The 27,391-nt window shown below is 42.4% G+C and overlaps 1 pseudogene across 5 annotated transcripts; it reads right to left on the minus strand.

Annotated features, from left to right (window-relative positions):
- Positions 1-1,925: 1,925 nt before the first annotated feature.
- NXF5 (nuclear RNA export factor 5) lies at positions 1,926-27,391 on the minus strand (annotated as a pseudogene). 5 transcript variants are annotated; one of them, NR_159738.1, is made up of 19 exons: positions 27,319-27,391; positions 12,936-13,119; positions 12,556-12,709; positions 11,704-11,787; positions 11,488-11,592; positions 11,292-11,372; positions 11,075-11,144; positions 10,830-10,918; positions 10,602-10,645; positions 10,313-10,422; positions 8,604-8,640; positions 8,156-8,224; positions 8,014-8,069; positions 7,596-7,654; positions 7,306-7,468; positions 6,548-6,620; positions 5,834-6,015; positions 2,351-2,411; positions 1,926-2,204 (listed from the first exon to the last, which is right to left on the minus strand). The product of NR_159738.1 is annotated as a nuclear RNA export factor 5, transcript variant 3 (transcript). The 5 variants fall into 5 exon arrangements; NR_159739.1 differs by having other exon boundaries at positions 10,602-10,709; NR_028089.1 differs by having other exon boundaries at positions 6,548-6,645; positions 10,602-10,709.

The raw sequence follows: 27,391 nt of genomic DNA on the forward strand, positions 1-27,391 counted from the left end.
AGTGACATATGGGAAATAATGCCGATTCTCAGGGATGAGCCCTTTGGATTCCATAGCCCCAGGCTCCCTGCCACCCTGTCCCTAAGGAGAGTGTGCCAAGGCCCAAGGAAATGAACAGAGCAGCTGTGGCTGGACTCTCCTGGCTGTGACTGCCATTTGCTGCTTTCTGTCCTAATCAAACTTTCCACTCCATGCTCCACGCTATTAACACATAAATGAACAATGTCAAGAATAAAAGAAAGTCATCACTGCAGATCTACATAAAATTATAGCATGATGCCATGAAGAGCTTTATGTTAATGACGTTGTTAACTAAAATGAAATGGATATAAAACTGTATCTGCATTATTTCTTTTATATAAATATGTGTGCATATATATATTTATGTGCACATATATATTTATTCAATCATTTATGACTGAATTGTTCTCAATGATTCTAAAAAATGGCTATGTCAATTTACATGCTTGGAAACAATGTATGTGAGTACTCATATCTCCTCCCTCCAACTTCAGAAATAATCTTGGGAAGCATACACTTTGCCTCACCATTTAGACTTCCAAGATTGTGTCCTAATGGACCATTTTCAGAGAGACGTGTGTGTGCGTGTGTGTGTGTGTGTATGTGTGTGTAGAGCTAGAGAGCTCGAGAGATGAAAGAAAGAGCGAGTTCAGGTGTTTAGAATTAGCATGTGCTGGGAACATAGGACCACAGGAAATCGTGGGAATTGGCAAGAGGATGAGTGACTGGAAGACCATGGCATCCGAGCTGGCTAGGGAAGAAGGTCCAGGCTGTGGAAGCCTGATGATGTACAGAGAGGAAGTAGAGGGGCCATGTGATGGGTTCCATGGTTCCTACCCACAAAGGAGTCCTGGCAGCTCCGAGAGCCTGAGCTGAACAGGCACTGTGGTTGATAAGTAACATGTGAGGCCATCTGTAGGCTACACGATGAGGCTGAGAAGCACACAGTGTGGTCTCTGCTCCCTGGGTGAGAGGACCAAGGCTTAGAGAGGTACAGGAGCTTGTCTTTGACTATTGAGGCACTACAGGGAAGAACAAGGTTGGCATTATTCTTTATGTAATTGCAACTATCCCCTTAGTTCCTAGTTTTAAGAAATTCACACTCCAACATATGGCTCCCTAATGTACATGTACATAAAAAACTGAAAAGTGGCAAGTGGTAGGAAGGTGGCAAGTGGTAGGAAATAACGTATGCCAAACGAAAGTGGAGGCATAATTTGTAAACTGGTGGTACCTCTTCTATGTCATCATTTATAGGATTATGACTTGAAAATGTCATACTGCTATTATTTTAATTTCAAAAAGGATGCCTGCTGGTTGTCTAACATGCAAGCATCACAGAAATGTGGACAATAAATTGTGCAAATGTCCTGTTCAACTCTTGCCTGCAATTTGGAATTGCTAAATGCTGGTCATTGAGAACTGATCATAATGTGAGATTCTGTGCTACTGCTGTTTGTTTAGAAATGAAAATAAATGGCTGAACCCCTTCAAGAACATGGATGTGGAGTACCTGGTGTCAGCTCTCTGAAGAGTTCCCTGGGCAGACAGGCTGAGTCTCCCTCCCACTGCAGGTGCTAACCTGAGACTCCTCGAAAAGTGCACCTTCGGGAAAGGGAGGGGTTGGGATAGTGGATGGAAGCCCCTGGTGTGCCAGGTAACATGCCTGCTTCTGTGGGCCTCCAGGTCGAGCATATGACAGAGTTCCATTGTCTCTCAAGGCCAATATCTGGAAGGGGCGTGTGTCCTTTCTCATCAGGATTTATTGACAAAATTACCTATGAAGGGAAGCCAGATCATTGTATCTGCTAAGGCCAGCCAGCGATAAACAGGGATGCAGGGCTTTTCTGTCCTGGCCCCACTGGCTCATGGTTGGGGCAGGGGAAGAGCAATCCAGGGCACACAACATACAACATGTAACGTCACTGTTTATTATGAAAATAAACGGTGATCATGAGTGGGGCAAATACACAGAACAACTGGCTCTTCAGGTGGCTATGTCCTGTGGCCTGCAAGTTAACTTTGGCTTCTTGGTCAGCCAGGCCTCCAACCCCAGTCCTTAGAGTGGTCTTAGGCTGGTGAAAAGAGGAAACAAAGAGGATGAGAAGGAAGACAAAGATGACATCAAAGGGCTCCTTTTAGGGGATTTGCTTGAAGGCCTCCACTGGGATCTTGCCCTCAGTCTAGATGAAGTGAAGAAAAGGAGTTGGGATGTTAGTAGAGCCAGGTGCCCTGGGTTCCATCCCCACACTACCCCGCCTCCATCTTCTTGGCCCTCCTGAAGGCCCAGAGACAGCTGTCTTTTACCCCCTTGATATCCAGACCTCACCTGGAGCATAGTGAAGACCTGACCAGCTCTAATGTAGTTCCACTTATTGTCCTGAAGGCACCTGGGGTGGGAGAATAGGTGCTCTCCATTACTACCCCAGGACAGACATGCTGACTATGCAATGCCACACTTAGTCTATGCTACCTGTTTGCTGGGACACATGTACCAATATGAGCACTATTGTAAGGATGAAAAAAGGCCTAGGGAAAATGAAAACACCTATCCCTGACATTCATTCCCACTAGAATTCAAATCAGAAACATAGGGTTATTCAAATGAAGAAGGGAGCTTAATCCATATGGGTAAAAAAGATGTTCAAGAAATAACAAGTGGAAATTCAATAATACGTTTCTTTTTTATTGAGATATAATGTACATACTGTAGCAGTCACCATTTTAAGGTGTACAATTCAGTGCTTTTTAAGTCTATTCACAAGATTGTGCAACCACCACAACTATCTAATTCCAAACTATTTTTATCACCTCAAAAAGAAACTCCTTAGCTGTTAGAGATCACTCCCTCTTCTCCCTCTTCCCCAGATCTTGGCAACAACTACTCTGCTTTCGGTCTCTATGGATCTGGCTATTCTGAACAATTCATATGAATGGAATCATATAATTATGTGGCTTTTTGTGACTGGCTGCTCTCACTTAGCATATAATGTTTTCAAGTTTCATCCATGTCATAGCATATATCACAACTACATTCTTTTTTATGAATAATATTCCAATAATATTCCACCATATGGATGTACCACATTAATCTATCCATTCATCAGTTAAAGGTCACTTGATGTGTTTCCATTTTTTGGCTATTTCGAATAACACCATTATGGAAATTCATGTGCAAGTTGTTGAATAGGCATATATTTTCATTTCCATTGATGTACACTTAGGAGTGGGATTACTGGGTCATGTGGTAACTGCATGTTTAAGATTTTGAGGAATTGCCAAAATCTTTTCCTCAGCGACTGCTCCATTTTATGTTCCCAGTTGCAATCCATAAGATTTCCAATTTCTTTGTATTCTCACTGACATTTGTAATGTTTCTTTTTATTGACTAAAGCCATCCTAGTGGGTGTGAAGTGGCGACTCATTTCGGTTTCGATTTGCATTTCCATAATGACTAATGATGTTGAGAAATTTTTCATGTGCTTGTTGGTTATTTGTATATCTTCTTTGGAGAAAAGTCTATTCAAATCCTTTCCCCATTTTCTAATTGGGTGGTTTGTCTGTTTATTGTTGAGTTGTAAGGGTTCTTCTTGTCAGCAATGTAATTTGCAAACATTTTCTCTTGTTTCATCAGTCAGTTTTCAACTTTCTTGATAGTATCTGTTGATGCACAAAAGCTTTTAATTTAGACGAAGTCTGATTTACCTATTTTTCCTTTGGTTGCTTGTGCTTTTCATTTCATATGTAAGAAATGGTTGCCTAATTCAAGGTCATGAAGATGTACACCTATAGAGTTTTACAGTTCTAGCTCTTACTTTTAGATCCTTGACCCATTTTTCAGTCAGTGTTTGCACATCATGTGAGGCAGGTGTCAACATTCATTGTTTTACAAGTTGATATCCAATTGTTACAGCATCATTTGTTAAAAAGACTATTTTTTTCTATTGGATTTTTTTTCAGCACCCAGAATGATAGTCAACTGGATATAAATGTGTGAGATTATCTGTGAATTCTGAACTCTGTTCCACTGATGCCCACGTCTCTTCCTATATCGGTACCACGCAGTCTTGATTAATGTAGTTTTGTAGCAAGTTTTGAAATCAGGAAGTGTTAGTCTTCTAACATTGTTCTTCTCTTTCAAGATGGTTTTGGTTGTTTGGGGTCCACTGTATTTCCACATGAATTTTGAAATTATCTTGTCAATTTCTGCAAAGAAGCCAGTTGGGATTCTGTCAGGGACTGCAATGAATCTGTAGATTGTTCTGGGTGATATTGCCATCTTATTGATACTAAGTCTTCCAATCTATGAACAAGGGATGTCTTTCCATTTATTTAGGTCTTCTTTAATTTTTTTCAGCAATGTTTTGAAGATTTCAGAGTATAATATTTGCATTTATTCCCTTAAATTTGTTTCTACATATTTTACTTGTTTTGATGCTACTGTAAATGGACTTGTTTTCTTAATTTCATTTTTTTGTATTGTCCATTGCAACTACATAGAAGTACAAGTGATTTTTGTGCATTATATCTTGCAACCACGCTCAATTGGTTTATTAGTAGTTTCTTGTGGTGGATTCTTTCAGATTTTACATATGGAAGGCAATGTCATTTGAGCCATTTACATGACCATATAAAAATTATCTACAATATATCAGTATAAAAGTATGATACCTTTTTGATGGGCCCACTTTTTTTGGAAGCAAAACATCCAGATTACTGGGGGAACCCACCCCCAATATTTCAATGTAGGTTCTTTCTATTTTCCATAAGCGTTGGCCAGCTGAGAAATAAAGAGAGACAGTATAAAGAGAGGAATTTTACAGCTGGGCCACCGGGGGTGACATCACATATCAGTAGGACCATGATGCCCGCCTGAGTCTCAGACCAGCAAGTTTTTATTAAGGGTTTCAAAAGGGGACGGGGTGTAAGAACAGGGAGTAGGTACAAAGATCACATGCTTCAAAGGGCAAAAAGCAGAACTACTAATAAGGGTCTAACAAAGATCACATTCTTCTGAGGGAAAAAGACAAAGGGAAAAAGCAGAACTACTGATAAGGGTCTATGCTCAGCAGTGCACATATTGTCTTGATAAACATCTTAAACAACAGAAAACAGAGTTCGAGAGCAGAGAACTGGTCTGACCACAAATTTACCAGGGCAGAGTTTTTCCCCACCCTAGTGAGCCTGAAGGTACTGCAGGAGACCAGGGCGTATTTCAGTCCTTATCTCAACTGCATAAGACAGACATTCCCAGAGCGGCCATTTATAGACCTCCCCCTTGGAATGCATTCCTTCCCCAGGGTATTAATATCTTCCCTACTTGCACGTCCATTTATAGGCTCTCTGCAAGAAAAAAAATATGGCTCTATTCTGCCCAACCCTGCAGGCAGTCAGACCTTATGGTTGTCTTCCCTTGTTCCCTAAAAATCGCTGTTATTCTGTTCTTTTTCAAGGTGCACTGATTTCATATTGTTCAAATACACATGTTTTACAATCAATTTGTACAGTTAACACAATTATCACAGTGGTCCTGAAGTGACATACATCCTCAGCTTACGAAGATAACAGGATTAAGAGATTAAAGTAAAGACAGGCATAAGAAATTATAAAAGTATTATTTGGGAACTGATAAATGTCCATGAAATCTTCACAATTTATGTTCCTCTGCCGTGGCTCCAGCTGGTCCCTCCATTTGGGGTCCCTGACTTCCTGCAATATCAGATAGTTATTTTTCCAAATTGCATGTGAGTTTCCATTACTCACTCTTCTGAGGTCCCAACTTCCCCCATCCCCATGTACTCCTAGTACTCACTTCTGAGACCACTCTAGTTTCATCCCAGACTGGGCAGAGAAAGCCTGCACCATTTCCTGTGCTCCTAGGAGAGGGAGGGCTCAGAGCTGGAGGAGAGTGTGGACACTGGGATGGAGAAGGCACTCTGAGTCTCTTGGGGGCTGGCATCCCTCAGAAACAGCTTATCATTCATGATGCACAGACTGGAGGAAAGAACAATGCACCCTCAAACTGGACAGGTAGACAATTCCACACTCTCAACAACAGGATCCTTCTTAACCACTACTGCCGCTCAACAACCAAATTGCTTCCATATCCCTACTGTGCCTGCCTCCCAGATATTTTGGCTGGTACCTTCTAACCCTCCTACAGAGTCTGCCTTTGGAGAGATTGTCTACCAGCTTCACTAGATTTTTAGAACCCCAGCATGTTTACCCTGTACAACAGTGCAAGGAAGTGGATACTCTTATTCTAATTTTCAGAGAAAGGCACTGAATCTCAGAGAGGTCGAATAAGTTGATCAAGGTCACATAGTTTGTGAGTGTTGGGGTGAGGAATAAAAACTGTATTCCAACTCCAGGGCCCACACTCTTAAATATTAGGCTGGACTGTTCCTTGGATCTACCTGTTGGCCTTCCACAATATTGAGAACACCCTGAGGACTGCACCCAACACATTCCCACAACACTGACCCCAAGCTGGGATGGGTGCTCCCACCCACAACATAGCACTAACCTGGAATTGCGGCCAGAGGTAGTGATGAAGGTCCACATGAAGGCAAGATCAGAACCCTGAGACCATCCTTCCACTTCAGAGACAACAAACACCACCACCTGAGAGTTACACAGGCTTTACATGCTCACACAGTGATCCCCAGTCAGAATCTTGCTTGACACTCACACAGAAGAGGGGACAGACCAGGACAATTGTTCACTTGGAGTCAGGCAGATGTGGCAGGGATGGGGAAGGCAACAACAGGAACAATCAGCTCCCAGTGATAGGGCCCCTATCATGCATGGGGCCCTGTGAAAACCACAGGTTCACTTGATTCCTATTTCACAGTAGCCCAAGAAATGGGTTATTATTAGCCCCATTTTGCAAATGAGGAAACAGAAAGGTTAAGTAACCAGCACAAGTTCACAGAGTAAGGACCTGGGATGAGAGCTGTCAAACTCCACAGTCTGTGTCCTTAATGCACGCCTGAGCTGTGCAGGGCAGACAGGCATGGACCTAGGTCAGATCAGGGTGGTTTGTGGGCAAAGTGGGGGTGGGAAAACACAGAGGGAAGAAGAGGAAGGGATGGAATGAAATCAGAGAAGCTGGGAGAATTCTGGGAAGGAGCCCAGCCAGTGGGAGGGAGCAGTGGGGGATCTGGGGAGGGGACTCTGCAGTCATTCACCTTCCTTGAACACTCCGTTGACAGAAAAGCAGAGCATCCTTTCCTGAAAAGGAAGCGCTCAGGTGCTCAGGATCCTCCTTAACCTCCTACCCACCTCTGGCTCTCTGGGCCTGCCCGAGGGAGGAAGCAGGTGTTCACGGTCTGGTACCACATGTCCACCAGGATGGAGGTGAAGTCATGCTGAGTTTCAGGCAATGCACTGAGGGAGTCCACGTTTCGTGGACATTTTGTGTGCTTTAGCAGCTTCCTCTGCAGGTCTATAGAGAAGAAGAGAAGCAAGGAAGGTGTGGGGTTGGGGGAGCTGCCATACCCTGGTCCTTGGCCCCTGTGATTGTTCCTGTCACACTCCTTTACCCTGCCCAATCTTCTCCATCACACACTTACAGGGGTCTTTGAGAATTTTTATATTCCTGCTATCCTTGAAGTACTTGCACAAGTTGCTCCTAGGAGAAAAAGAGGAGCAGGAGTGGGTGGTCCGGCCAGTGTGGGCATTTCCAGGAGTTGGCCTGTGTCTGCTGGGGAGACACACAGCCCCAGAGCAGGGTCTGAGCCGTGATACTCATGGGGCTGAGTCCTTGGGGTCGAAGGGAATAGCCAAGGAGAAGCAGGCCTCATCGTGGTAAGCACCGAGGAGACCCTGTCGATCTCCAGAGTCATAGATCGAGTAATACCTGTGGGGAAAGCAGTGAGGATAGGCTATCTCTGTGGCCTGGGCCCCAGATGAGACTTGAAAACTCCCAGGCTGCACGGGTGCCCAGCCTGTCTCAGCCCTCCCCTTCCTCATGGTCCCAGGGATACTCACTGCTGCAGGAATTGCAGGACTAAATGCTTTAGGGTCTCAGATCCAGTAAAGTTTTCCTGAAATCAAAAGACAATTTGGATCTATGCGGTGGACAAAGCCTCCCTTACAGCAACCCAAATCTTGCTTGGTCCTTCTTCCTCACCTTGCAGGGTTTCATTGTCTCAGAGCTGTCAATGTCAACAATCACTGGTGCGGATAACTCTCGGCCGTCCTGGAGAAGGAAAGAGGAAGTCAGCAGTGGAGACCAAGGAGGTGGAGCTGGATGATCGATAAGATGAACATGCCCAGGGAGACAAGCATCAGAGGCTAGGTGGGAAATGGCCCTGGAAATTCCAGTGGGTGGCTTTCTCATGGGGTGCTGGACATCTCTACTATCACATGCAAATGTGTGTGTGGGGGGGGGTGGCGGTGGGGGGACACATTTTCCAGGGAGAATATTCTTGTCTTTTTCAGGAATCCATGCCTGTAAAATGGATGAGGGTCTGATACAAGCATGTAATCTAGGCAAGACCCAAAGGACTTGAGGGCAGGCGTGGAGGTCCTTTTCTTGAGTAAGAGGAGACAATGATGACGGTATTATACATACTTACCAGGCGTAACAACTTGGGGAAACAATCCCGGATGGCACTGTCCAAAACCAAAAATTGAATGAAGTGACTGACAGTTCAGGGTTGCACAGTCTCTCTCCCACTCCCTCTCACACTCCTCCCTCTCCTTCCTCCTGGTTAGCTTCCATCTAGACTGTCCTGACTCCCTTTTCTCCAGTGCCACAAGAAGCAGCACTGGGAGCCCAGGCTCCAGGGCTTTCTTCCTCTCCCTCCCTCCCCTTTGCCCAAGTCACCATGGAAGGCTCTGCAGGGAGCAGGAAATGGGGTGGGAGCCCAGGGCTCTGCCACCTCACTGGCTGTCCATCAACCTGCCTGACCAGGCCCTGGCCAAGACCAGGTCAGCCCTTAGGGATGGCCCAGGATGCTGGGACACGGAGGTGAGTGAGGCCGGACTCAGGAGGCAGGAAGCGGAAGGCAGGGGGGACAACAACAGAAACGGGGTGAAGGTAGGGGAGGGACGGATGGGTGAGACATAGGAGAGGAGAGACAAGGGAGAAACAGGATGCAATGCAAAGGGAAGGGAAAGACTCTCTACTGCGGAGGTGGAGTTCAGGGAGGAGAAGAGGAGAAAAGGGCTCCCCTGCTGCAGCCCTTTCCCTCACTGCTCCCTGGCTGGCCCCGGGGACCGAGGCAGGAAAGGAAAACATGCGCCTGTTGGGCTGGGGCCCACTGGTTGCAGCTGGAGCCTTCCTCACCTGTGTGAGCTCAGTCTGAGCTGGGCATGGGAAACAGAGCAGCCACGGGGACAGGAGACCTTCTCCCGGGAGGAGTGAAGAGTCAGGCCCCAGCTCAGCATGGGGTTCAGAGTCTGGGGACCCCCTCTCCAGACCACTGCATTCTCTTCTGATGGTCCCTGACTCCTGTGCCCCTCTGTGCTGACGCCTTGACCGAGGAATGCTACCCATCTCGGGCTACCCAGGGCTCCTCTGAGGGCCCAGGCAGGACGATGTGAGGTGGAGAAGGAGGGAAGGTGGGGCAGTGCCCTGAGAGGCCTGTCCTTCTGTCTTCTCAACCTCCTCTGCCCTCTGCCTTCCACTCCTGCCTCAGGAACGTGGCCCGCTTCTGGACCCTTGACGTAGGAAACCCAGGTTTCTCCCCAAGGAGGGCCCAGCTCCTGGCATTGGGCCAGAGGAAGAGATGGCATGACAGCAGCCACCCGGGGCCCCAGCCCTCAGTATGGGGCAGGGAAGCCCCCATGCCAGCCCAGGACAGGTGGGGGGACCTTTTTGGAGCAAGAGAAGGAGAACCCCTCTCGGGACAGGGGAGGGAAGCCCCATCTCAGCATGGAGGCAGGAAGGCCTGTCTCAGCATGAAGCCCCGGACTAAAGGACTCTTCTCGGTCCAGGGCACCAGCATCTGAATACTGCTGGTCCTGGGGAGGTGGGGGAGCCCCACTTCCTGGAGCACACTCACAGAGGGCACACTGGAGGAGGCTTGGTGGAGACAGGCGGGAAACACACCCCAGAGCAGGTGAAAAGGGGACCATGTCAGAGGAAGGAAAGGAGACCTCTAAGCACAGATGAGTGAGTGACAGAGAGAGAGGAGAGAGAGAGAGAGAGAGTAGGAAGGGAGGTCTGTGGTCCTCCCAGAGGACCAAGGCTGCTTCTTCCTGCAGAAGGGCACCTTCAGACACAGCTCAGTCACCCAGGGAGCAAAGGTGCCCAGGAAGGGTGACAGGGGTTGCCACTGACCTTACATAGGCAGACTGGTCCGAGAAGGTGCTGCACAACGGGTTCCCTTCTAGCCATAGCTCTTCGAGCTTCAGCCCTTTCACCTTGCCCAACTCCCACGCCGACTCCAGCTAAGAAAGATGGGGAGGAAACTGGAGAAGGAGGGCCAGGGAAAGAGAGACACCCAGGACCCTGGGCCCTGAATTCCCCCGGCCCTCATAGTCACCCACAGGTGCCACTGCCTGGCTGTTGCCATTATCCTGATGTGTCCTGCCCTCCACCCAAAGTTGATCTGGCTCCCCCTTCTCACCTTATTTTTGGAGAGATTCAGGGTCTTGACTTTGGGAGCCTTCTCTGTAATGTCAGAAAGGCCATCCAGCTGGTACAGTTTGTTGTTGCACAAGTTCAAAGACAACAGCTTTGGGTCAAGAAGAGTTAGAGTGGCGGCTACTATCTTGGGCCTCAGAGACAAATCTGCCCTCCACCTTATCCCTTCCACCCCTCTAACTAAATACCAGCACTGAGCCTAAGGCTTCACCTCAGGGAAATTTCTTTCAGTGATCTTCAGGGTGGCAGCCATGCAGTTTCTTCGATTCAGGATTATATCAATGTCACGGCCCATCAAGTCTTGAAGAAGCCAAGAGAAGGGAATCGGAAGGCTGGGAGGGCCCTGGCTGGACCAGAGCCAGCCCCAACCCCTCTGTAAATTGCCATTCCTAAGTCTCCCTCCCAGGCAGACCTCTCTGCCCCCGCTTGTCTTAGAATTGCTGCTGTCAGCCTTACCTGGGTCAAAGCGGAGATTCTGGAGATCAAGAGCTTGCTGGGAGACATTGTACCGTTTGTTCATGGTCAGCTGCAGAGATAGAGATGAAGACAGAGGCTCTGGGGCTCTGGTGATGGTGGTGGTGGTGGTGGTGGTGGTGACAGGGAAAGAGGGGGCCAGGGGAAGAAGAGGTGGGTCCAGGAAGTGGACATACAATGATCCTTGAGTCTGTATTACCTTTAGCATCTCCATTTGGCCTGGCTTCAACTTATTCTTCACAGAGTAGGGCGCAGTAAAATGACTGACAAATATACATATCTGCAGGAAGGCAGGGTGGTAAGTACCAGGACCTCCAATCCCAAAGACAATGACCAGTCCCCTGGCCTGTCCTCCTGCCCAAAGACTAAGTACAGGGAATGCCCTCAGCACACACCTTTTGGTTCTCATCATCATAAATCTTATAACTGACATCCTTCAATGCAGAGGCAGCACTAGCAACCTGGACAAAGAAGCATGCCCGATTTCGGATGTAGTGGAACTACAGGGAGTGAAGGCAAGAGCAACAGCGTCAGAGGCCAATGGCCCCTGCTGAGCCAGGTCTCTCTCCATCCCCTGTGTCCACTCATCTGGCTTCACCATCCTCTCTTACATCAACCGGAGTGAAGGGGACACTGCAATTGCTCTGGATTGAATTCATTAGCCATGCCTTGTCATACTTTATCCCATAAGGAATCTAAGCATAAAAAGAAGAAATAGCAGAGAAGGGAGAGACAACATGGAACTAAGTTTGGAGAACAGAAACAACCAGCTGTTTATTTTTCCAGCTTTCTACTTAGCTTGGACTTCTAAAGAAGGGACCACTGACATGATTTCTTATTTTTGTGCCAAATATGGATTCCCTAAGCTACCTTTCTCTCCATTCTGAAGCTCTCTTTCAAATAATCAACTTAGGGTGTTTTATGTGGTCTTCTTTCTATCAGGTTCCAGAATATTCTCTCTCTCTCTTTCTTTCTTTCTTTCTTCCATTTCTTTCTTCTCCTTCCTTCCTTCTGTCTCTCTCTTTCCTTCCTTCCTTCCTTCCTTCCTCCCTCCCTCCCTTTCTTCCTTCCTTCCCTCCCTCCCTCCCTCCCTCCCTCCTTCCTTCCTTCCTTCTTTCTCTCTCTCTTTCTTTCTTTTTGGAGACAGAGTCTTGCTCTGTTGCCCAAGCTGGAGTGCAGTGGCATGATCCCAGCTCACAGCAACCTCCGCCTCCCAGGTTCAAGCGATTCTCCTGCCTCAGCCTTCCGAGTAGCTGGATTTACAGGTGACTGCCACCATGCCCGGCTAGTTAGTGTATTTTTAGTAGACGTGGGGTTTCACCATGTTGCTCAGGCTCGTCTCAAATTTCTAACCTCAAGTGATCTGCTTGCCTCGGCCTCCCAAAGTGTTGGGATTACAGGTGTGAGCCACCGTGCCTGGCCCAGAATATTCTACCTAATGCAGACCTCAACGAGATACTCACTGTGACCTTGAACCATTTCCTCATGTTTTCATCTTGTGTGTTCCGCCTCATTTTTCTCTCTGGAGGTTTTCTATTTCTCCAAATGGTAATATGGATTTGATCTTCACTATGTCATTTCACTAGCTTCCTGTTGCATTGGATTCTATAAGGAGTGCTGTGGGGAAAGGGAGAGAAGGTGGATATTCATTAAAGCTAAGAAAGTCTTCTATACACACTCCCCTCACTGACACCAAGGCTTCAATTGGGATTGCTCAGCCATTATTCCACTTCCAGCATTCTTCAGTTCTCTAATGAGAGAAGAAAAGGAAGACCACAGAGAATGAAAGGGTTGCACAGTCCCGGAGGCTGCTACGTGCAAACCAGGCTGCCTGGTCACTTACTGTCTTAGTTGGCGGTCCTTGTGGACATCCCTCATCTCCATGCTTCCATCATTCTCCTGGCAGCGTGAAGGCAGAAGTTCATACCCACCATGTTCATAATGACAGTTCCTCTTGTCAAAATTACCCTGGAAATGACTCCCACCTTTCTTCCTTCTTTGAAAAGTGCTACTACATATACGGCATTCTGCAATTGGGAACAAAACACAAGTTTGAAGACACATCAATGGTCCACTTACCATGTCTCATGTTGTGGGCTAACTCCATGGTAGGACAAGCAAAGTGTCAACCTGCCCCAAGGGACCGATCACACAAGCCCCAGAAAACAAACTCCTCTGCCTGTCCAGATACAAGAGCCTTATCTCACAGGTGGCACAATCAGGGGAGAAATCCTGGAAGAGGAAGCAACTGTGTTGAACCTCTTAAAAAATGGAGCAGGAATTATAAAGAACAGAGGTGCATGTGTCCATGGGTTAGACTAGACACCAGCTACACACCTGGAAAGGGTCCTAATCTTGCCTTCTCTCAGGCTTCTCTAATCAAACAACAGCACCAACACTTGGGAGACAACCTCTCTCGCACCTCCGAAATCGCACCTCCAGTCCCCAAATGCATTCTGTGAACAATCAGCAAGCTGTACTTCTTTGCCGGTGTAGTACAAGCTTTAATGACAGGTGGGACTGATGTAACAGCTTCCCAAGCTGCCCTCCTGTCTACAGCCTTGCCCTCAACAATACTCAGTTTGAAATATCCAGAGCAAGCTTTCTTTTTGCCCAGCCCGAAATGCTTTCAGCCCAAGAGACAACTCTTCCTAAGCAAGTGACAGAATTACTAGAAAGAAAGAAAATCGGCAAGGATATTAAAAACCACTACAGTAACAGGATCTAAATGACATGAATAAAACACTGTACCCAACAACGAAAGCAGGGCATGCTTTTTCCACTCCCCCCCTACTGTCTTGCAGCATTCACGAAGGTAGACCATCTCCTGGGCCATCAAACAGACCTCAACCAATTTCAAAATGTACACCTTGTCTCAGGGCACCCTTATGAATAAAATTTCAGTCACTGCTGACCTCTCTGCAATGTACTGATTATGGCCAGGCCTCAGATTAACTTCTGTTGCGGGGGGGGGGGGTCGTTGCTTTCACTGTGTGTGACCCACTGTCAGGACAGTCCTGCTACTCTCGAGTGTTGGGACTTTCCCTGTGTGCCATTAGAAGTGAAATTAAATGTGGGCAGAGCATCTGACCTAGACATTCCTGATGCTTGGTCCCCACAACTTGGAAGTGGGCCTGGAATGCTCTCTTTCTCTCACACTCTACATCCAACCGATCAGAATGGATGTATCTTCTCTTGTCTCTACCTTTAAAATATATCCAGAGTCTGGCAACTTCTCACCCCCTCCATTGCTACCTACCCTGGCCAGGTCACCAACATCTATCTCCTGGATTATGCTGCTTTCCAACTTGTCCTTCTGCTTTTGCCCTTGGCTCCCTTACCATCTATTTTCAACACAGCAGGCAGAGTGATTTTTTAAAGCATAAGTCAAATCTTGTCATTCCTCTACTCAAAATCCTTTAACTGGTATGTTAAAAAGCTATGAGTCCATAACAATACTCAACAACAACAACAAAGGTCCATATTGGTGACATTTGGAGGATGTCCAGGAACCAACTCATTTTCATGAAAGTCCATAAATGAAAGGGACAAAAATCAAAGATTAAAGTGAGGGTTAAGGGCACATGGTCAATATATGGAGCATAGGAAGAGTCAATGTTATTTTTGAGAACCAGCATTACTTCAGAAATAATGTCACTGAGGGGCAGAAGGTGTAAAAGTTAGCTAGCCAACAGGTACAGCTACATCCTCAGGCAAGGCCTTGTGTTTGAAGAGAGCACATGTAATAAAAAGCCACAGAGGGACCCGACAGAGAGAGATGCTGAAGATAAGACACACACAGGTGCACATCTACTTACTGAACTCTGGCATCTCTGCACAATCCCTGTCTTGCAGTTGTGCTGCCAGAATTACAGGTGTTCTCAACATAAAGCAGCTTGTGCTTCTCACCCAGACCACCTGGGTTTCCCATCAGGCCCCACCATATGTTGGTTGGTCCTCCCACACAGACATAGTAGTGAGTATCGTTTATGACATCATGTGCGTTCCTACTGGAACTTCCTGTGTCATTTTGGAATTCTGCCTACATCACTGCCATGCCACTGAGTGCATGGCATCAGCATCCCTGCTACGGCAGGGAAAGAATGGGATAAGAAGAAAACCAACCCTTGCCCAGTGGCAACCAACATCTGCTCAGTGTTGGGCAGACTCACTAGGTTTCTCTTGACCTCCTCACAGAAATCCCATGAGAATTCTATCCACAGTCCCTTTTCAGATCGTGAATATTAGGCTCACAGATGTCATGTACATTTCCCAGTCAAGTAAGTGGCAGAACAGGAATTATGTCCTCACGTATATTGGTCTGCCTCTACACCCTGAGTGCTCCTCCAGAGACTGCACTGGTTCTCCCTTAAATGGAAAGCTTTCCGGTCTCATGGACAGATTTTTCCGAGCAGGCCAGGGATGATGTTTTATGCTAGTCACTCCTGTTGGGGTGGGAACCAGGTTTCTTGGATAAAGTGGAGATCTCTGTCTTGGACCAGATGGGTGAAATCTCTTTGGGCCACGGGTTTTCAGATTTGGAGTCACTTTAGGCTGGTAGTGGTCTGGCATAGAATAAGGGCCTAATTAATATTTGTGAAAAGAATGCACGTGATGTAGTTTTGGGATCATCGACAAAAGCACTTTTGAGAATACATCCATCTGAACCATTTCTACCAACCTCTATTTATTTATTCCAGACCTATTCATGCTGCAGAACTATTTCATAACCTGCTTGCAAAACTAAAATGAATTACATTTTTCTTCTGCAAAATTAATATTTTTTTCATTGATGTATCATTAGAAATAAGTACCTCCCTGTAGACTAAGTACCTCCCTGTAGACTAAGGCTAGAACTGCAGCTTTGAGGATCTCAGAGAAGGGGACTTTTGCAAATAGTGGTGACAAAAATGAGGAGAGGCATTCCCTGAATCCAGTAGATAGAGCTTTCTGGACATCTGGTCTCCGTAGGAAGAATGTTTTGGACCTACAGGCATGCTGTGTTCACTCAGCCTTGTGACAGACAGGAAGTACCATCCCTGTCTCAGAGAAAGGAAAGAGTGTGTGTCTGTGTGTCCGCGTTGCCCATGCAAGCAAGATTAGTGTTTTGTATTACATACTTTTAGAATTAGGTTACTGATACATGTACTCCAAATCATGTTGGTAAACACATTGCCAGACAACACTGGATCCCACTACACATTTCGTTTACTGTGTTATGTATTATATATGGCCAAATTTTGTTTCTTGTTCAGAATATGCTTTTTAGTGGTTTTTTTTTCTTTACCTCTTGGTGTTTTAATATTTGAGTTGATTGTTTTAAAATAAGAAAGTAGTACAGTTCTCTGTACAATAATGTAATGGAACAATATCCATGAGTTGACCAGGGTTACAGAGCACCCCCAGTGGGGGAGGCCAAAAAACCCAGTGGAACACAGCTTGGGCTTTGAAGTGGGGCTAAGATTTTGAGTCCCTGCTCTACACTTTCCCAGGAAAAGCACATGAATACTTTTAAGCATAAAGTGATATTTTCCTAAGGATTTTCAGTGATATTTACACCAATATACACTTGCACTAACCATGTGTGAGTCTAATTTTCTGCAATATGCCTAACCATTCAGAAGTCATTCTTACAATGATCTGGATATTTCACTTTTTGAATTTATTACATAAATCACTCTCTGCCTAAATATATACATATGTTTATATGGCTGTGCTTTACAGGTTGTTTGGGACAGAAGGATGACGGGACCAGAGAGTGGCTAATATTGTTAAGGGAGAAGTAGAAATGATTGTCCTTGGAATCAAGTAGGCATGGCAAGGAAAGGGCATGAGTACCTGACATACAGACTAAAAAGGCCAAGGAATGGATGTGTGGGTCAGAAAGAAGAGGGTGAGTACAGAGAAGACAACAAAACACACATTGAAAAAGCCTCCAGGGAAATGAATTCATCCTGGTGATACATCCCCCTCTGGAAACCTTCCTTCCTTCCTTTCCATGTATGTCTTATCTGTCCCTGTTACTTCACTTCCAGTTGAACACCAGAGAAACAGTTCCCACACAGTCTCAAAAAGGAGAGATGGTACCGGGCAACAGTGTGCATTGATAAGTCTCTTGCACAGAAGGCTGGAGTCAGGGGTCATTGGTTTCAGACACAACACCCATCGTTGGCCACCAGACTTTGAGTGGGCTCTGTCGCACCGCTCATTTCAGCCTTGACACAGAGTCGCACATTATTGGTTATGGGCCTAGGATTTGAGGTCAGATCCACCAGGATTTCAATCCTGGTGCTAAATTCTGTGATCCAAGGCAAATAATTGACCTCATTGTGACTCAAGTTCTTGTTTGTTTTCCCCCTAACTCAAAGATAGTAACAGTTTCTACCTCCTGGGTTAGTGTAAAAATTAAATGAGTTAACACATGGAAATACATAAAAAGCACCTGAAGAAATGCCTGTGACCTAACAAGCACTATAAATAAGTTTTCTATTGCTATGTCAAGAACTTAGTACAACATCTGGCATTTATTGAGGAAGAAATATGTCTTAGTTGCATTTGTTGTTATTAATCCTCCTGGAAATGAGGAGGAATACAGATGAGTGTATAGGGACAAATTGCTGTGTTGGCTACTAATGTGTTTTATTAAGTGGCAATATTAAAACAAGAAAACCATGTTGGAAAATAATCTGACATACTGATTAAGGAAATCAAAATAAGAAGCTCAGAGACTGAAATATGTATATGGAAAGCTTCAATGGTGGTGGGGGGGATTTAAGTTTCTAATTTCCAACTTCATTATTCAAGAAATTGTTCTGGTTTAAGTGGTAGACTTGGAAAATAAAGCTAGAGTATTCCTCATACTACATGACACAATGTGGAAAAAAGTCCAGGATATAAAATTGAATATTCTAGACTGACATCAGCATGATCTCAAGCTAGAAAGCTACAAGTTGTCCTTCCATATACATCTTGAGTTAACAATACATGGATCAGAATACCTCTGACAATTCTAGAGACAAGTTGGGAAGCTATAGCACTTAGGCTATTGTAAAACCCAGAGGAATACTGCAAACGGGGTAGGAAAATTTGTGGTATTTAGGGCATCCATTAATGTTTCTCCTATGTGGCATAGCACGGAATGACCATGAGAAACTTCTGTACACAGGCTCCTTCCTCATAATGGAAAAAATAGTGGGCTATATGTCCAACGTTCTGGTTCATCTGAAAGCTTCCCAAGGGGCTAGTTTCTGTCTTGCCTGACTCAAGAGCTGATGGGACCCATGCAATATTTTGGACACTGCTGAAAACAGAAGTAAGAAGCATGTTAGAGTTTCCATTCCACAGGCAGATGTCAGGGGGAACAATAGATTAGAAAATGCTTGAGAGATCCTAGAATCTCCAGCTGGACTGGTTTTTTATTTTTTATTTTTTTGAGATGGAGTCTCACTCTTTCACCCAGGGCGGACTGCAGTGGTGCTATCTCTGCTCACTGCAAGCTCTGCCTCCCGGGTTCACGCCATTCTCCTGCCTCAGCCTCCCGAGTAGCTGGGACTACAGGCGTCCGCCACTGCGCCTGGCTAAGTTTTTGTATTTTTAGTAGAGATGGGGTTTCACCATGTTAGCCAAGATGGTCTTGATCTCCTGACTTCGTGATCCGCCCGCCTCGGCTTCCCAAAGTGCTGAGATTACAGGCGTGAGCCACCACACCCGGCCTGGACTGATTATTGATAGTCTTCTCTTGCACGATGCTAGTATACAAAGACTGCGTGAGGTGGCTTGTTTTTCAAATACTCAAATTCTAACAAAAAATAGGAAGGCATACAGAGGAACATGGCCCAATCAAAAGAAGAAATTAAACTCTAGAAACCAACCTAAAGAAACACAGATCTATGAGCTGCCTGACAAAGAATTTAAAATAACTGCCATAAAGATACTCAGTGAACTAAAAGAGAACATAGATATACAGATAAGTAACATGAATAAAAGAATGGATTAACAAAATGAGAATATCAATGAAAAACAGAAACTATTAAAAAAGAAATTTTAGAGCTAAAAAATACAATAATGAAACTAATATTTATTAAAGGGATTTAACAGCACAACTGATCTGGCAGAAGAAATAATCAGCAAACGTAAATATAGGTCATTTGAAAAACCAAGTTAGAGAAGGAAAAAGAAAAAGCAATGAAGAAAAGTAAAGAGAACACTTGGGACATGATCAAGCAGGCAAGACATGCATTATGGAAATTCCAGAAGGAAAAGAGAGATAGAAAGAAGCAAATAGCTTATTTGAAGAAATAATGGCCAAAAACTTTCCAAATCTGGAAAAGGAAATGGATATATAGATTTTAAAAGCTCAAATATCTTCAACTCGGAAAATAAAAATAAAATGAGACACATTATAATGAAACTGTCTGAAGTCAAAAATAGAATCTTAAAAGCAGCAAGAGAAAAGTGATTTGTTGCAATGGAGCTTCCATAAGATTATCAGTGTATTTCTCAGCAGAAAATTTGCAGGCAAGAAGACAGTGGGATGACACATTCAAACTGCTTTAAGAAAAATAACTGTCAATCAAGAATAATGTATTAAGAAAAGCTATACTTCAAAATTGAAGGGGAAACAAGACTTTCCCAGATAAACAAAAGCTGAGGAAGTTCATTACTGCCAGACCTGCTCTAAAGACATGCTAAAAAGAGTCCTTCAAATTGAAGTAGGACAGTAGACACAAAGCTGTACAAAAATATAAGGTTCATCAGTAAAGGTACACAAATGGATGAATAAAATAACTGGCACTATTGTAATTTTATGCACAGAATTTAAATGACAAAAACATTTTTTAAAAATATAAACCTATTTTAATGAGTACATAATATATGAAGATGTAATTTGCCACATCAATAACATAAAATGGGAAGTGTGGAGTTGTAAAGGAGAATTTTGTATGCAATTTGCAGTTAAGTTGTTATCAATTTAAAATATAATGCTATACCTTTAATTTAATATGTTTTATGTAATTGCAGTGGTAAACCACAGAGAAAATATCTACAGGATACACATAAGAGCAAACAAGAAGGGAATCAAAGCATACCATTACAAAAAAAAATTGATGAAACACAAAGGAAGTCAGTAAGAGAGGAAAAGAGGCACAAAAAAGCTGCAAGACATATAGAAAACAATTAACAAAATGATAATTACTATCAGTAAGTACTTTAAATGGAATTGGATTAAACTCCCCAATCAAAATACCTAGATATGCTGAGTGGGTTAAAAAAAAAGACAATTAATTAAAAAAAAATTTTATTTTAAGTTCCGGGATACATGGGCAGAACATGCAGGTTTGTTACATAGGTATATGTGTGCCACCTTGGCTTGCTGCACCTATTGATTGACCCTTCATCTAGGTTCCCTCCCCTCGCACCCCACTCCCCAACAGGCCCCAGTGTGTGTTGTTTCCCTCTCCGTGTCCATGTGTTCTCATTGTTCAACTCCCACTTATGAGTGAGAACATGTTGTGTTTGGTTTTCTGTTTCTGTGTTAGTTTGCTGAGGATGATGGCTTCCAGCTTCATTCATGTCCCTGCATAGGACATGATCTCACTCCTTTTTATGGCTGCATAGTATTCCATGGTGTATATGTACCATATTTTCTTTGTCCAGTCTATCATTGATGGGCATTTGGGTTGGCTCCATGTGAAACAGACAAATTTTAAATTAAGAAAAGACTGTTACAAGAGACAAAAAGGACATTATATAATGATAAACGGTTGATTCACCAAGAAGATATAATAAGTATAAGTATTTAGGCACCAAACCTCAGAGCTATTAAGTACATGAATCAAATTTTGAAAGAATTAAAGTGAGAAAAAGATAGCCACATAATAGCAGGATACTTAGATACCTAACTTTCAACAATAGACAAAACAACCAGATAGAAGATCAATAAGAAATCAGAGGATTGAACAACACTAGTTTAACTGCACCTAACATATGTATACAAAACACTGCACCCAACAACAGCAGAATATACACACTTATCAAGTGCACATGGAACATTCTATAGGATAGATGATATTAGGCCACAAAACAAGTCTTAACAAATTCAAGAAGATTGCAGTCAAACAAAGTATCTTTTCCTATCACAATGGAATAAAACTAGAAATCAATAGTATAAGGAAAACTAAAAGTCTACAAATATGTGGAAATTAAACTACATACTCCAATAAATTGGCCAAAGAAGAAGTCACAGAGGAAACTAGAAAATACTTTGAGACGAATGAAAATGAAAACACAACATACGAAAAATTATGGGATAGAGCAAAAGCAATGCTAAGAGGTAAATGCATGGGTGTAAATGTGTATATTAAAAAGAAGAGGCCGGGCGCGGTGGCTCACGCCTGTAATTCCAGCACTTTGGGAGGCCAAGGCGGGCGGATCACGAGGTCAGGAGATCGAGACCATCCTGGCTAACACGGTGAAACCCCGTCTCTACTAAAAATACAAAAAATTAGCCACGCGCGGTGGTAGGCGCCTGTAGTCCCAGCTACTCGGGAGGCTGAGGCAGGAGAATGGCGTGAACTCAGGAGGCGGAGCTTGCAGTGGGCCGAAATAGCGCCACTGCACTCTGGCCTGGGTGAAAGAGCGAGACTCCATCTCAAAAAAAAAAAAAAAAGAAGAAAGATCTCAATCAACAATCTATCTTTATACCTCAAGGAAATTTTTAGTTCAAGGAACAAACAAACCAAACCCACAGATAGCAGAAGGAAGAAAATAATGAAGATAAGAGCAAAAATCCATTAATTAGAGAATTAAAAAATCTCAGAAAAAAATCAACAAAATGAAGAGTTGGTCTGTTGAGAAGATAAACAAAATTGACAAAACCTCAGCTTGATAATCTAATAAAAAAGATGGAAGACTCAAATAAAATTAAAAGAGGGCACACTGCAACCAATGATACAGAAATAAAAAGGATTATGATAGAATACTATGAACAATTTTGCAGGAACAAATTTGGAAAACCTGAAAGAAAGGGATAAATTCCTAAAAACACGCAACCTACCAAGACTGAATCATAAAGAAACAGAAAATTTGAACAGACCAATAACAAATGAAGAGGTTGATTCAGTAATCAAAAACTTCCCAATAAAGAAAAGCTGGGGCCAGATGGCTTCACTGGAGAATTATACCAAAACTTAAGAATTAACACCAATTCTCCTTAAACACTTCCAAAAAATTGAAGAAGAGGGAATACTTCCAAGCTCTTTCTATGAGGAAAGTATTGCCCTGATACCAAAGCCAGACAAAGACACTAAAAGAAAAGAAAACTACACAATATCCCTAATGAATATTGATACAAAGGTCCTCAACAAAATACTTGCAAACTGAATTCAGCAACACATTGAAAAGATTATAGGCCAGGTGTGGTGGCTCACACCTGTAATCCCAGCACTTTGGGAGGCTAAGCAGGAGGATCACTTTAGGCCAGGTGTTCAAAACCAGCCCAGCTACTCAGAAAGCTGAAGCAGGAGGATTGCTCGAGTCCAGGAGTTTGAGGTTATGGAGAGCCGTGATTGTGCCACTGCACTCCAGCTGGAGTGACAGAGTGAGACCCTGTCTCAAAAAAAAAAAAGGTTTATTCACCATGACCAAGTGGGATTTATTCCTGGGATGCAAGGATGGTTCAACATATGAAAATCAATGTAACATAAAACATTAACAAGATGAAGTATAGAAACCACATGATCATCACAACTGATGCAGAAAAAGCATTGAATAAGATTCAATATCATTTCATGAGAAAAATACTCACCAAACTAAGACTAAAAAGAAACTACCTCAACATAATAAAGGCTATTTATGAAAAGCCCACAGCTAACATTATACTCAATTGTGAAAGATTGAAAGACACACACACATGCACACACACATACGTATACACACAGACACACTCACATGGCCATCCTTTTTTGTTTTTACCTTTTTAGTCTCTATAGTAAAGGAAAGCATAGCACATAAGAGTGTGAGTGCTGGAATAGTTGCCAAGTGAGCCAATTCATAGTATATTTTACAAAATCTTTTTTTCTATTGTAATTGGTATATTCCCAATGAAAATGGTGTTTTCTCTATTTTGCAAGTATTTTATATTATTCTTATACCCAGTAAGTTTAATTTCTATTATTAATTATAATTTTCTATAGATTCCATAGTTTTATATAAAGATGATTATATTAAGACTTGTTTTCTTTTTTATCCCTTTTATACATTTATATATGTGTGTGTGTGTGTGTGTGTGTGTGTGTGTGTGTGTGTGTGCATGTATTTATATTGGCTTACTTTACTGCCTGGAAAACAGTAAGAATCTGAACAGAAGTGGTTATATGAGTCATACTTGTCTCTTTTCTGATTTAAAAATGGAAAGCCATTAATGTTTCACTATTATGTATGGTATTTGCTGCTTTTTAAAAAATACCCATTATCAATTTAAAGAAATGTATTTCTATTCCTGGTTAGCTGGGAGTGATTGCTATTGTTGCTGTTTAGTCTTGATTGGTTGTTGAATTGCATTGTATACTTTTTTTCTGGATCTTTTGTGATAATTGTCCTTTTCTCCCTCCTTTATTCTATTGAAGTGTTGAATTATATTATGGATCTCCTTATGTTAGGCCAATATTCCAAGCTTAGGTTAAACACAATTTTCTCATGCTGTATTATCTCTTTTAGCCACTACAGAATTTAGTTTGCTGTCATCTTATTTCTATATTTACATTTACATAATTAATTGAGATGGAGTAGTAATTTTGAATTCCATGTCAAGAAAACATTTAATATTTTCTATTTCTTTAACATAAAAATTATATATTTTTTTCTGGAAATTAATCTAAATTTTCAAATTATCAGCATATCTTTTTAATAACATTATCTTTTTTTTCTCTAGCCACCTTTACTTTTATTTTTATTTTTTATTATACTTTAAGTTTTAGGGTACATGTGCACAACGTGCAGGTTTGTTACATATGTATACATGCGCCATGTTGGTGTGCTGCACCCATTAACTCGTCATTTAACATTAGGTATATCTCCTAATGCTATCCCTCCCCCCTACCCCCACCCCACAACAGGCCCTGGTGTGTGATATTCCCCTTCCTGTGTCCGTGTGTTCTCATTGTTCAATTCCCACCTATGAGTGAGAACATGCGGTGTTTGGTTTTTTGTCCTTGCGATAGTTTGCTCAGAATGATGGTTTCCAGCTTCATCCATGTCCCTGCAAAGGACATGAACTCATCCTTTTTTATGGCTGCATAGTATTCCATGGTTTATATGTGCCACATTTTCTTAATCCAATCTATTATTGTTGGACATTTGGCTTGGTCCCAAGTCTTTGCTATTGTGAATAGTGCTGCAATAAACATACATGTGCATGTGTCTTTATAACAGCACGATTTATAATCCTTTGGGTATATACCCAGTAATGGGATGGCTGGGTAAAATGGTATTTCTAGTTCTAGATCCCTGAGGAATCGCCACACTGACTTCCACAATGGTTGAACTAGTTTACAGTCCCACCAACAGTGTAAAAGTGTTCCTATTTCTCCACATCCTCTCCAGCACCTGTTGTTTCCTGACTTTTAAATGATCACCATTCTAACTGGTGTGCGATGGTATCTCATTGTGGTTTTGATGTTCATTTCTCTGATGGCCAGTGATGATGAGCATTTTTTCATGTGTCTTTTGGCTGCATAAATGTCTTCTTTTGAGAAGTGTGTTCATATCCTTCACCCACGTGTTGATGGGGTTGTTTGTATTTTTCTTGTAAATTTGTTTGAGTTCATTGTAGATTCTGGATATTAGCCCTTTGTCAGATGAGTAGATTGCAAAAATGTTCTCCCATTCTGTAGGTTGCCTGTTCACTCTGATGGTAGTTTCTTTTGCTGTGCAGAAGCTCTTTAGTTTAATTAGATCCCATTTGTCAATGTTGGCTTTTGTTGCCATTGCTTTTGGTGTTTTAGACATGAAGTCCATGCCCATGCCTATGTCCTGAATGGTATTGCCTAGGTTTTCTTCTAGGGTTTTTATGGTTTTAGGTCTAACATTTAAGTCTTTAATCCATCTTGAATTAATTTTTGTATAAGGTGTAAGGAAGAGATCCAGTTTCAGCTTTCTACATATGGCTAGCCAGTTTTCCCAGCACCATTTATTAAATAGGGAATCCTTTCCCCATTTCTTGTTTTTGTCAGGTTTGTCAAACATCAGATGGTTGTAGATATGTGGCATTATTTCTGAGGGCTCTGTTCGGTTCCATTCGTCTATATCCCTTTTTTGGTACCAGTACCATGCTGTTTTGGTTACTGTAGCCTTGTAGTATAGCTTGAAGTCAGGTAGTGTGATGCCTCCAGCTTTGTTCTTTTGGCTTAGGATTGTCTTGGCAATGAGGGCTCTTTTTTGGTTCCATATGAACTTTAAAGTAGTTTTTTCCAATTCTGTGAAGAAAGTCATTGGTAGCTTGATGGGGATGGCATTGAATCTATAAATTACCTTGGGCAGTATGGCCATTTTCATGATATTGATTCTTCCTACCCATGAACATGGAATGTTCTTCCATTTGTTTGTATCCTCTTTTATTTCATTGAGCAGTGGTTTGTAGTTCTCCTTGAAGAGGTCCTTCACGTCCCTTGTAAGTTGGATTCCTAGGTATTTTATTCTCTTTGAAGCAATTGTGAATGGGAGTTCACTCATGATTTGGCTCTCTGTTTGTCTGTTATTGGTGCATAAGAATGCTTGTGATTTTTGCACATTGATTTTGTATCCTGAGACTTTGCTGAAGTTGCTTATCAGCTTAAGGAGATTTTGGGCTGAGATGATGGGGTTTTCTAGATATACAATCATGTCATCTGCAAACAGGGACAATTTGACCTTCTCTTTTCCTAATTGAATACCCTTTATTTCCTTCTCCTGCCTGATTGCCCTGGCCAGAACTTCCAACACTATGTTGAATTAACTCTCTGCTGTAGCTGCAAGTGTGACAGCTTTTCATTCCAAAAGTGGTTTATTTGTGCCATAGCTCTAATTTTCTTGATTCATATTGCCAGAAGATTTTTTATTACCTTATCTTTTGAAAGCATTGACATCTACCATTTTTATTTAACTCTTTCATATATCTTATTATTTTCATTAAATTTGTTGTTATTTACATTATTTGTTCCTTGACAATAATGGAAAGATGAGATAGTTTTATTAGACATATCATAAATGAACAGTCTTTTCATCTACCATTAGGTTTTACCTTATAATGATTATCTGTGAATAGACATACCAATATTCAATACATTTATTTACTTGGAAAAGACTTGTGGCTTACCAATCCTTGAGATTTTTAACCAATTCCATCATGTCTATTTAATTCCATTACTGGAATATCAGCCACTGAGGTTTAGGGGTTGCTGATAAGCACAGCATTACCTAGCCTCTCCTGACTTATATATCTCATCTGTAAATTTAAATGACACCCTCTTTGGATTTTTCTGTGAGTTAAATGCAATAACTTTCATGATGAGGTTATCATAGTGCTTGACACACAACAGGGACTCAAAAATGGCAGCTATGATTATTAAATAATAACATTATTTTTAGAAAATGTAGAAAATTTGTATAAAATGAACAAATTTGCATCTGTTCATCCTGACAGGTAAGTTGTAACCTGCTTTCAAGGGTGAGGTACTTTATTTATTGGTATAGACAACACTTCCTAATGAAATGTTAGGCTCTTATTTCTTGAAGTACTTATGCACTTATTTCTTGCCATCATGATATTAGAAATATGCTTATAAGTTAGGGGTACTTATAAAGAATGAAAATTGGAAAGAGTCAAGCAAGAGAGAGATTGGCTAATGAAATAAAATGAGCTAAAGAGCAATAAGTAACTCCTTACTGAGAAGAATAGATTATAATTATTATTTTTATAATATAATTACTAGTAAACATACATTCCATTGTTCTTTGTAAACAAAGGTATAAGATATTAATGTGGCAGAAGATACTTAGTTTGAACAGGATTTCCCACAGTGTTTTGTGACTAACACTAGTACCTCAACTACTCATTGGAAAAATACTCAATTTCCATATAAGTTGGGGAAACTACCCCTCCTTTTGAAATTCATGTTTCATATCAGCATATTATCTAAAAAATTGCTATTATATGGAAATCCTTTTACCCTCAGTTTTGTGTGTCTTACATTTCTTTAATGGTAGAGTATACTTTTGTTGTTGCTGTCTCTCAGACCTAGTGTTTTCCAGAACAAACCTGGA

Source organism: Homo sapiens, chromosome X (assembly GCF_000001405.40).
Source record: "Homo sapiens chromosome X, GRCh38.p14 Primary Assembly".
Classification (NCBI taxonomy): domain Eukaryota; kingdom Metazoa; phylum Chordata; class Mammalia; order Primates; family Hominidae; genus Homo; species Homo sapiens.